Genomic DNA, 12,360 nt, shown 5'->3' on the forward strand with positions numbered 1-12,360 from the left:
GTTAGTAGCCTTTGGAAATTCACCTGCTCATGGCATGGGGAAATTGAGTGCAGGGTTTGCTCAGATCAGTTCACCTGCTCCAAGAAGATGAAGGGAGCTGTTGCCCTCCAGATAGAATGAGTTAGGAAATGACAAGGATACCGTCCTTCCACACGGCATGTCATATAAATGGCTCTATGTGCAGGAAGAGCTGAGAAGCAGCAGCACAGGGTAGGGGGTGAGAGAATATGCATTGAAGGTTATCTTAGTGCCTAAGAAGTTCATTCAATAAATATTTATGGAAACTGCACTTAAGATACACGCCTGACCCAAATGGACACAATGCCTTCCTCAAGGAGTTTACTTTTTAGCATAGGAGGCAGGGGATAAACCACAAACCTAACAAATAAAGTAGCCACATGGAAGGTAAAAGGTGCTAAGTGCTGGAGATAACGCAAGGGAGGTCAGGAGGATGGGAACAAAGAGGATTCAGGCTCTGGGGCAGAAGTCATTCCCTGGGTTTCCTTTCCAGGTCTGGAGAAGGACAAGATGCAGCCAGAGAAGGACTGTGGGTCACTGGGAGGAGGGCACATTCCCAAAGGGGAGTTAGTAGCAAATAGAGGGACAAAGATGGCCAGATCAGGCGTTTCTTGTGGGCTGGGGAGCAGAAGAAAGAGGCTCATCCCTTGCTCTAGCTGGATGACCTAATAAGGCTTCTTCCATCTTGCTTGCTTTGAGTCTGGCCTCCGAGAGGACTCCCTGTTCTCTCTGGCAGGCGCTGCAGAGCCCACAGTGTTTAGGATTTCTGAGCGCCACTGAGTGTTCCAGCCAAAGACCCCATGTGACTTTCCTCCAAGCACGGGTGAGGGGTGCAGGAAGGAAGGGAGGGAGAGGGGTGAAGGGGGAAGGGGGGAGGGAGGGGGGAGATACAGAGATGGGGAGGAGTGCAGGAGGGAGGAGGGGAGGGGTGCTGGAGGGAGAAGAAGGGTGCAAGGAGGAAGGGGGAGAGGTAATGGTGCTGGAGGAATGGGGAGCGGATAGGGGTGAGGGAGGGAGGGAGAGGCATACAGGAGGGAGGAGAAGATTGCAAAAGGGAAGAGAAGGGGTGCAGGGAGAGAAAGGGAAGGGTGTGGGAGGGAGGGAGAAGGAGGGTGTAGGGAGGGAGAAGGAGCTTCCCATTTCAGGCCTTGGCACCAGGCTATCAGCTGAGACAAGGTGGACAGGAGAGGGGGATCAGAACAAATGCTAGGGCCCAGCTGTATCTGGCCAGCTTTCCTAAAGTAGTTAAAGCTAACGAGAAAGGTAACTGAGAAGGTGAAGAAAATAAAAGACTACTGAAATAGGTGTGCTCTGTGGGACACAATGCCTTCCTCAAAGAGTTGACATTTTAGTGTAGGAGGCAGAGGATAAACCACAAACTCTGTGGGGATTGGAGGCATTTCTGTTGTGTTTTTGTATCAGTCATAGCACTTATTCTTCCAAGAGCTCATTTGCCCCTGCAGCAGGGCTGGGGGCTCATGGGTGGCACCTGTTTCCTGGCCAGAGAGGGACTCCTCCACCTGGACAGAGGGCAACTGGTTTGTTTCCAATTTCTTTTAGGCTCTTAGCATGCTGAAGCTGGGAGGGAGCTTCGAGATGATGAGGACGCCAGGGCCTCCATGAGGGGCTGCCCTGGTGAACACAGGCCCTGGTACTGAATAAGCTCTTCCCGGTTCTAACTCGACTTTCATGGTGTCATTTTTGCGAGGTGCATCTCTGATCTGCCTCCAGTAAATAAACGGCTGAAACAGAAGGTTTTGAGTTTGTTTTTTGCGGAGGAAAGGAAGGAGAGCATTAAAGAACACATTTGGAAGAAAAAATGTTCACTGAGAGGTGGGAAGTCAGGCCAGCCAGGGAGAGCTTTGTTGCCTGTGAGAGGTTCTTACATCTAAACCAGGATGGGTTTGGGGGTGGGGCAGTCAACCCTGGAATTCAGGTTTTACATGCAAGCTGTCTTTCTGACAATCTACACATTTCACAGGTAAGCCAGGTGCGATCATTTGCATGTACCCACTTGCACAAGACCTGCCGGGAGCCTTCTGGCCAGGGCAAGCTGCATTCTTTCCAGGCACTTGTCCCAGGCAGGTGTGTTTCCCAGCGCCGCAGGTTAGAAACAAAGCAGGTTTGGACTGGTGATGGACTATACAGAGAGCACTGTCTCCTGAGTCGGGGACGTGGTGCTGGCCCCAGCTTGGTCATGAATTCACTGTGTGATCCTGGCTGAGTTTCTTGGCCTCTGGGGCCCTTTGTTTACCACCATTGTAATGAAGGGGTTGGATTAGACCAGTTTTCTGGAAATGTGCTCACTGAGGCCCCGGATATTCCAGAGAAGCCGTGGCCCAGGGCTAGAGGAAGGAAGGCTAAGGAGGGCTCAGACGGAGAATCTCCAGATGCCACCTGGCTTCATCCACAGAACTGCCAGCTCTATAAGATGATGTAATACATATGATGTGATACTATAATACAATGATGGACTTCAGGGTAAGGGAAAGAAGGGTTCCACTGCCTGCAAAGTTTGGAAGCCCCTGCATCAGGTCCCATCCATGATCCTATTATTCATTAAATGGTCCCGAGCAGTGCCAGAGGAGACTGGCAGTGTTCACTTTGCTTATTTAGAAGCCTGAACAAATGCCAAGAATTCACGGTCAGAAAAACACCCTTTGGCTCCACATTTATCTAGAGAGCAAAACAGACGCACTTGACAGATCCTGCAGGTCTAATAAAACGCCAGTGTGGCAGAAACCCTCTCTGCTGCTTCATAGTATTTATTATTTCCAGCAGATTCTACACTTGCTGTCACCAGGACATACCTGAGCAGGGGAGGTCAGGGCTGACCCCTGGGGCTGTGGGCAGAAACCATGGAAAGCCTCTGAGGGCCACTGGCTTTGTCATGAGTAGATGCAATATGTGGGTGATTGTTTACATGGAAACGAAACATCTGCGACACATGGCGACATGGAAAATCCCACCATCATACAGTAAATGAGAACCCAAAATTCCATGTCATTAAAGCAGGGGTTGCATTATTGAATATTAAATGAGATGACCCAGGGTGAGCCTGTGTGGCTGGCTGAGGAAGGTGCTGGGGTCAAAGTCCTTCTCGGGCCAGCGGCTTTCTAGGACAATAAATGTGTCACTTTCCTCCCCTAACCTTCTCCCGTGTGGAATAAGAACAGAGCTAAAGATGTGGTTCCTTGACCAATTATACTATATTTAAAATGACATTTTTAAGGGACTTTACTATTAGGCCTTAGTAAGGAAAAATCTGAATTTCAAACTGCGAGGCTAATGTGTGAGATCAAGTCACTTGACCAATTGAGCGTTTACATCTCAGGGTGGCTTTCTGGATCTTGATTTTCCTTAGCAAATACAATTTTGTTTTAAGACAGGGTCTTTGTCACCTAGGCTGGAGTGCAGTGACGTGATCATGGCCCACCACATCCATGACCTCCCGGGCTCAGGAGATCTCCCACCTCAGACTCCCAAGCAGCTGGGACTACAGGCAACCGCCACCATGCTTGGTTAATTTTTTTGTGTGTATTTTTTGTAGAGACAGGGTTTCACCATGCTGCCCAGGCTGGTCTCAATCCCCTGGGCTCAAGCAACCCACCTGCCTCAGCCTCCCAAAGTGCAAGGATTTCAAGTGTGAGCCACCGCCCCTGGCCAACAAATACTTATTCAAAGTCATCCACCTGCCTGGCACTATTGTAGAAGCTTGCTTCCCATCAATGAGCAAAACACAAAATTCCTGCCTTGGAGGAGCTTATATTCTGTGTCGCCATTTACCTGTCCCTAACTTGGGGGCCCAGCTCTCCCGAGGGGCTGTGTTACTTCGGTGTCTGTCAGGGGAAATGGTAGCATGGAGATTGTGGCTGGGTTGTGGCATCAGACACCCGGGCTCAGACAGAGCCTTTGGTTCTCTCCTTACACAGCTTCCATCAACTCTGCTCATGTCTGTTTCGTTGTTGTTAAAGCGGGCAGCAATGGCACATTCCTCATCAGGCTGCATCGATGATTAAATAAGGTATTTAATCCTTGATGTGGCGCCTGGCACTTAGTAAGTGCCCATAAAGTGGGTGGCTCGTGGCTGTCACTCCTGGGCCTTGTTCTCACAGCGGCATTCCTGCTCCTGTGTTTGCCCTCTGTTTGGTTGCCATGGGTGCTGTGTTTGTGTAGAGCTTCAGCAGGACGTGGTGCTGCGAACATTCATCTTGCCTCTGCCTGGTGATCTGGTGAGCAGGTGCTGCTGTTTGTGGGAGGAAGGGGCCAGCTGCCCATGGGATAGCAGCAACTGTGTGGCCTCCCCAGGCTGGTGGCCAGGGGGCTGCCTTCCCCATCAGGGGTGGGACCCACTCAGAGTACTTTTGCTTTTGGAACTCAGCCAGACATCTGTTTTGGGTGAGAGGATGCATGCTCTTCCTTCCCTCCCAGGATCCCCCTGTTTCAGGCTCTCTGCAGCAGCCCTGACTTGAATTGGCTGTGTGATCTGAGGCTGTTCACTTAACCTCTCTGGTTATCCATATCCTCATCCATAGAATGGAGATAATCATTCTCACCACCGAGGGGTGCTGTGAGGATCGGGCAAGGCCACAAGGTAAGGACTGGATCAACCTGAGGCACAGCGCAAGCTTCCCTTGCTCCAGCCACACAGCGGGACTCTAGTCTATGCAAATCTTTGCCAAATACATCTGATCTTGCCAATTGTCTTAGTCTGTTTAGGTTGCTGTAACAAAATACCATAAACCAGGTGGCTTATAAAAACAGAAATTTATTTCTCACAGTTCTGGAGGCTGGAAAGCCCACCATTGAGGTGGCTGGCAGATTTGATGTCTTGTGAGGGCCCATTTCCTGGTGCACAGATGGTAGCTTCTTGCTATGTTCTCACCTGGTGGAAGGGACCAGGCAGCTCTCTGGGGTCTCTTTTATAAGGATGCTCATCCCATTCACAAGACCCCTGCCCTCATGACTTAATCACCTCCCAAATTCCCCACTTCCTAATACCATCACCTTGAGGATTAGGTTTCAATGTCTGAATTTCGGGAGAGACACAGACATTCAGACCCTAGCACCGACTCTCGCTACTTCTCTTAATATTACCTCATATGCTTCATTCCAGCGTGACCTTTTAGCACTCTCGGCCTCTTCTGTGATCCTGAAGTTATGTTTGACACTGGTGGCATAGGTAGCATCCACATCTGTTGGATGGAAAGCTTCTCCAAGCAGGGGCCTCTCCCTTCCTCCTTACAGAGCCCAGCATGCAGGAAATGTGCAGCGTGTGTCTATTCCTAGGTGGACAAATGCATCCACGAACGAGGAGCTGGCACCTCTCTCTTAAAGACCTGTTTATTTCACGTCATGTAAGGGCATTGTTTCTGAAACTATGGCTAAATTTAGACTTTCCTTCTGCTGGGAGTCATGGGATGGGTTAGAAATTTATTCCTGGCCAGGCACAGTGGCTCAAGCCTGTAATCCAAGTGCTTTGGGAGGCTGAGGAGGGAGGGTTGCTTCAGCCCAGGTGTTCTAGATGAGTTCGGGAAACAGCAAGATCCTGTCGCTACAAAAAATGGAAAAAAAAAAAGACTGGGTATGGCAGGACATGTCTGTAGTCTCAGCTACTCAGGAGGCTGAGGTGGGAGGATTGCTTGAGCCCAGGAGGTGGAGGCCGTAGTAAGCTGAGATTGCACCACTGCACTCCAGCCTGGAGTGGACAGCAAGACCCTGTCACAAATTAAAAAAAAAAAAAAAAAAGAGATGTTGTATTAGTCAGTTCTCACACTGCAATAAAGAAATACCTGAGACTGGGTAATTAAAAAAAGAGGTTTAATTGGCAAATGGTTCCACAGGCTTTACAGGAAGCACGATGGCTTCTGCTTCTAGGGAGGCCTCAGGAAACTTACAATCATGGTGGAATGTGAAGGGGAAGCACACGCATGTCACATGGCTGGAGCAGGAGGAAGGGAGTGAGGGGGCAGGTCCCACACACTTCTAAACAACTGGATCTTGTGAGAACTCTATTATGAGAATAGCACCAAAGAGGAAAATTCAGCCCCATGATCCAGTCACCTCCCACCAGGCCCCACCAGCAACACTGGGGATTATATCTCAACATGAGGTTTGGGTGGGGACACAAATCCAAACTATATCAAATGTACTCCTGGGCTCTTACAGGTACAACCAAGTAGCCAAGTCTGGGGCAGGTTTTGGCTTGGAGTCTTGGAGAAGGTTCTGGTTGCCATGTTTCTTGCCTTGCCAAGCCAGCTACCCAGAGGGTCTAGTGCCCAAAACATCCCACAGAGCCTGGCCTGGGATGCTCCACGCTATGTGCTCCCCTGCCTGGCTCTCCTGCACTGTTCTTGCCTTCAGCAGCTCCCAGATGCTCTTCTTAGGGACTGCTGATGACATTCACAGTGGCTCAAAAGTGCTTCACCTTTTTGGAAATTGCAAAGTACATGGGGTTCCACAGACAACACCAGGCAAGGGAGCCGGGTTACTAAAGCCAATGGAGCATCAAGTCTGTCTTACGATAAGTTATCCAGAGTTCCAACTTGCACTTGATTATTTGAGTGATAAAATGAAGACATTAATAGATACTATAGGAAATATGCTGTTGGAATGAACTATCAGGTTAATTGCTTTAATCCTCTATGCCCCATTATTGGTGAGAATCTGGTTATCGTCAATCATGAAATGAGAGTCAACAGACCAATCTGAGCAGGGAGAGTAAAATGATAAATATACAGATGCTAGGTGCTGATGAGAGCTAATGAGAAAACACCATTCACAATGCCACTAGGATTTTGTGAGACTGAGTCTGTGTCCAGTGAGGAAATCCATCTCACCACACTGGTTTTCCATTGGCTACCATATGGCATCATTTTAAAGTCAGTGGACCTCAATTTACCTTCTGTGGTGATAGAACTGAAGGATGCCATTGCATAAGGGTACACTCAGGCTGTGTTGTTGTTAAATAAGGCCATGGCCCTTGATAAACCATGCCTTGCAGTATGCATGTTCTTGGATGCATCCTGAATCTGGGCTGGTTCTGTGATTTGTTTTAACCGATAAACTGTGATGGAAGTTACACTATACCAATTCTGGGCTTTAGCCTTAAGAAAGCCTTGCAGCTTCTGCTTTTGCACTTTGATACCCTGAGCTTCTATGTAAGAAGTTCACCTACCCTGATGAAGGGATCACATGGAGAGACCCCTAGAGGGGCAGTCAGGGAGGTCAGAAGGAAGGGAGAGGCCCTGAGACAAAATGGATGGAAAGACCAACCATCCCAGCACCCCAACTGAGCCCAGGCCCTAGCAGACTGTTCAGCTGAATGCACCGATACAAGTGACCTCTGGTAAGATCAGCAGAACAACCATTCAGCTAAGCCCAGCCACAATGGAAGAATTACAAGAAATAGTAACAGAACTGTTATTTTAAGTCACTGAGTTTTGGTGTAGTTTGTTATGACAAAACAACCCAGTTCTCAGGACAAATATTGTAGCTTCACCTCTAACATGGACATTTGCATATATGACCATCTGTATAAGTCTGAGTTTTCCAGAGAAAGAGAAACAATAGAATGTGTGTGTGTATAAAAGATACTTACTTTAGAGAATGGGCTCATATAATTGTGGAGGCTTGGTGAGTCCAACATCTGATGCGGGAGGCCATCAGGCTGGGGGCTCAGGAAAAAATTACAGTTTGAGTCCAAGGACAGTCTGGTGAAAAATCAGGAAGGGCCAGTGTTGCAGACGAAGTCTGAAGGCAGGCAGTCTGATGGGGAATTTGCTCTTGCTTGAGAGAGTTCAGCAATTTTTTTTTTATTTTATTTTTTTTGAGACAGGGTCTCCTCTGTTGCCCAAGTTGGAGTGCAGTGGCGCAATCAAACTCCTGGACTCGAGTGACCCTCCTGCCTCTGCCTCCCCAGTAACTGGGAATATAGGCTTGTGCTACTTGGCTAATTTTTAATTTTTTTTTTTTGGTAGACATAGGGGTCTTGCTTTGTTGCCCAGGCTGGTCTCAAACTCTGGAGGTCAGCCTTTTGTTCTAGACTTTAACTGATAGGAGGAGGTCCACCCATAGTGTGGACAATGTATGTTACTAAAAGTTCACAGATTTAAATGCAAATCTCATCCAAAAACATCCTCACAGAAGCATCCAGAACAATGTTTGGACTACATATCTGGGCACTGCAGCCCAGACAAGTTGACATAAAATTAACCTTCACACCATCCATTGGCAGAAAATAGGTTTTCTTTGATTTCACTCAGAAGTCAGTATTTGATTTTTGAAGAGAGAACCAGACTAGAGAATAAAGAGACTTGCATTTTAATCCAGCTACTGCCACTAACATCATCATCAGCCAACCTAATTCCTCTGAGCCTCAGTTTTTCCCACTGGGTTAATTTTAATTTTGTTTAATTTTGTGTTGTTCTTTCACCTTATTACCTCTTACAGGCAACTTTAGCAAGATGTTTACTCTTATGGGCAAAATTCACAGAAACCAAAAGCATGTTCTTAAACACGCTGAGGCTCTGGGACTTCATTATTCTGTGCCACAGATCAGAGGAAAGTAATTTTGAAAGGATCACAGGTTATTGGATCATGTAATTTTTAAAAATTTCAACAGTAAATTCTTAGGACATTTACTGTGTGACTATGTAATTTTCTTGTAGACACCTTAAGTAAATATCCATTGTGAACCCCAAAAATCTGAGACACATCTCAGTTAATTTAGAAACTTTATTTGGCCAAAGTTGAGGACACGTGCCCAATGACACAGTCCCAGGAGGTCCTGATGACATGGGGCCAAGGTGGTCAGAACACAGTTTGCTTTTACACATCCTAGGGAGACATGAGACATCAATCAACATATGCAAGATGAGCACTGTTTCTGTCTGGAAGGTGGGACAACTGGTAGCAAAGGCAGGAAGACTCCAAGAGGGAGGGAGCTTCCAGGTCATAGGTAGATAAGAGACAAATAGTTGCACTCTTTTGAGTTTCTGATTAGCCTTTCCAAAGGAGGCAATCAGATATGGGTTTATCTCAGTGAGCAGAGGGGTGACTTTGAAGAATGGGAGGCACGTTTGCCCTAAGCAGTTCCCAGCTTGACTTTTCTTTAGCTTAGTGATTTGGGGGCCCAATATTTATTTTCCTTTCATACCTTTGAAGATAGTAAAAATACTCATGCACACCTAGAGGAAGAAATTCTCACCAAGGAGGAACATCGGTTGCTTTGGTTGAGGGGGTAGTAGTGAGACACGGTGGCCTCCTCTGCAAAAATTCCATCTCTCCCCTTTTGGGTGGAGCCACATTTAGTTTGGTGATTGGACCCCATCTGTGCTCCAGGGTGGGCCTTGACTGATCTAATGCCAATCAGGATAATCCTACCAATCAGTTCAGGGGAAGACATGTGGCTTGAATTGTTCCAATCAGACTGCAACTCAGAACTCTTTTCTAGTTCTTGGGGTAAAAAAAGATTTCTCTTCTTCTGTGTGGTATGGTAAGTATAAGGATATGAGACTTAGGTTAACTGCAGCCATTTGCTACCAGAAAGGAAACCAACCTAAGGGATAAGGCAACATATGGAAGAGAAGAGGACCAGAGAATTGCAGAAAAATGGGGCCAGAGCCGTGATCAATACAAACTGGAAGCCCATTGGACCTCTGAGCTTGATAAGCTCTTTCATTTTCTCAAACATTTTTTTAAAAAAATAGAGTTAGGATCTTCCTCTGTAACCCAGGCTGGAGTCCTGTGATGTGATCATAGCTCCTTGCAGGCTTGAACTCCTGGGCTCAAACGATCCTCCCGCTTCAGCCTCCCCAGGTGCTGACTACAGGTGCAAACCACCATGCCTGGCTATTTTTTTTATTATTTGCAGGGACAGAGTCTTGCTATGTTGCCCAGGCTGGTCTCGAACTCCTGGCATCAAGCGATCCTCCTGCCTCAGCCTCCCATTTTAGGCCATTTTTGAGTTAGAATTTCTATTATTTCCAACCTGAAGCATCGTAATTGGTACCTGATATACCCCATCTACCTTTCAGGAAGAGTCAAAACTATCAACTTTTTAACCTTAGTCTCCTCATTGGTAAATGACACTCGGAATAAGATCGCTTTCCTCTCTGAATTGTTTGAGATATTATAATTCACCAAGGAGCTCACATGGAAGCAGAGCTCCTGCTGCTTTCAGGCTGAAGGCTACACCTTTGCAAAATTTCCAGGACAGCAGAAAAACAAAAACAAAGACAAAAAACCTTCAGATCACTGGCTCGAAACAAATTCAAGGGCAGACAGAGCAAGACTATTCATAAAAAAATCCATTGAGTAGAAATCCACTTCCTATAGTGTATGTGCATTTGTTCTAGTTCCACTTCTTGGGCTGCAATGAATAAGTCGGATCCTTCTTCTACCAGATAACTCTTGTTTTTTTTTGCAAACCAGTCGTTGACAACCCCATCGAAGGGCTCCTCATATGTCATGTATATTTTTTGAAGATCAACTGCACTGAGATATAATTCATATACAATAACATGTACCCATTATAAGTGTACAGTTCAATGAATCTTGGCAAACATCTCCACTTGTGTAACCACTACCACAATCAAAATGCAGAACATGGCTGGGCATGGTGGCTCACACCTGTAATCCCAGCACTTTGGGAGACTGAGGTGGACGGATCACCTGAGGTCAGGAGTTCGAGACCAGTCTGGCCAACATGGCAAAACCCTGTCTCTACTAAAAATACAAAAATTAGGCCAGGTGAAGTGGCTCACACCTGTAATCCCAGCACTTTGGGAGGTGGACACGGGTGGATCACCTGAGGTCAGCAGTTCGAGACCAGCCTGACCAACATGGAGAAACTCTGTCTCTACTAAAAAAAAAAAAAACAAAAAAAATTTACCCAGGTGTGGTGGTGCATGCCTGTAATCCCAGCTACTCAGGAGGCTGAGGCAGGAGAATCACTTGAACCCAGGGGGCAGAGGTTGCGGTGAGCTGAGATTGAGCTATTGCACTCCAGTCTGGGCAACAAAAGTGAAACTCCATCTTGGAAAAAAAAAAAAAAGGCAGGTGTGGTGGCGGATGCCTGTAATCCCTGCTACTTGGGAGGCTGAGGCAGGAGAATTGTTCCAACCTGGGAGGTGGAGGTTGCAGCGAGCTGAGATCGCACCATTGCACTCCAGCCTGGGCAACAAGAGCGAAACTCCGTCTCAAAAAATGAATAAATAAATAAATAAATAAAGCAGAACACTCACATGTCCCTCTACAATCACCTCCCCACCCATACTGGCCCCAGGCAACCACTTTTCTGTTTTCTGTCACTCCAGATTAGTTTTGCCTTTTCAAGAATTTCCTATAAATGGAATCATATGTCATATTTTAAGCTTCTGTAAAACAAATGGAAAAGCCAGAGAAACCCCATCCATTGGAATGGGGTCTACCAGTGTGGATCTGGATATGCTTGGCCAGCTTTTCTTGGCACTGCTCAAATTGGAGATAGACTATCCTATAGGCACAGCTCTTGCTCTTCCCTGGCTCACGGTCCCACCACACTCTAGCTCAGGCTTCTCTCTGTGGCACTCTGTACTCACGGCGATTTCTCCCTCGCTTTTGGAGCTGCCTTTCCCTTCTTGGCCCACATCTACCAACTGGAAAAGAAAACAGAAAATGAAACCGCTGGAAAGGCATCTTTCCTGGAGAGTCTGCTAATCTTTGTGGAGAACCACACAGGAAGCATGTCCCCTCAGTTCTCACTGACATCCCAGATAATGTAAACTCCCCACTTCCTGTACAGCTGGCTCAGGAATTGGCCTCTCTGACACAATGAAGGAAGCTTCAGTTTCTCATTATTTAACAGTTGGACACCCACTTGCTCTCTTGGATCCTAGGGCTATCTTTCCCTCTTTTTTCAAGGGTTTTGTTTTCTTTCTTCATCTGGTTCACCTTCAGATTTAAGAAAGTGTGAGAGAGAATGATGGTCTAGTCTTTTCATCATTTCTTCTTCTCGCTAAACCTGTCTGGTTCTTCATCCATATGCGGAACATTTTTTATGACTGAGTAGACAGAAATGGGCTTCTGGAGCCCAGCTATCATTTGACATATTGTTGTTATTCTTCCCAGTAAAAACACTTCCACAAAAGAGCAACTGGTGGTAACTGAATATGTCTGCAGAAAAAAAGAAAATAAATATGCAGTACATTTCAATATGAGAACATTTTCCCTCCTCTGGCTTCCTGGAGTATATAGTGCAGGTGGCAAGGAAATATCCTTTGCCTTACACAGTATAAAGGCTAGACCAGCGGTTCTCAAAATGCAATCCTTAGACAGTGGCATCAGTGTCACCTGGCATAT

At 46.7% G+C, this 12,360-nt stretch overlaps 2 long non-coding RNA genes across 2 annotated transcripts; one reads left to right on the plus strand and one right to left on the minus strand.

Annotated features, from left to right (window-relative positions):
• The first annotated feature begins 764 nt into the window (after nucleotides 1-764).
• Nucleotides 765-1,771, plus strand: LOC102724333 (uncharacterized). Its single transcript, XR_428684.2, has 2 exons — nucleotides 765-841; nucleotides 1,579-1,771. It is a non-coding gene; the product is annotated as an uncharacterized LOC102724333 (long non-coding RNA).
• Nucleotides 1,772-4,766: 2,995 nt separating this feature from the next.
• LOC107984172 (uncharacterized) lies at nucleotides 4,767-5,325 on the minus strand. Its single transcript, XR_001747287.2, has 2 exons — nucleotides 5,116-5,325; nucleotides 4,767-4,903 (listed from the first exon to the last, which is right to left on the minus strand). It is a non-coding gene; the product is annotated as an uncharacterized LOC107984172 (long non-coding RNA).
• Nucleotides 5,326-12,360: the final 7,035 nt, after the last annotated feature.

Source organism: Homo sapiens, chromosome 10, assembly GCF_000001405.40.
Source record: "Homo sapiens chromosome 10, GRCh38.p14 Primary Assembly".
Taxonomy (NCBI): Eukaryota; Metazoa; Chordata; class Mammalia; order Primates; family Hominidae; genus Homo; species Homo sapiens.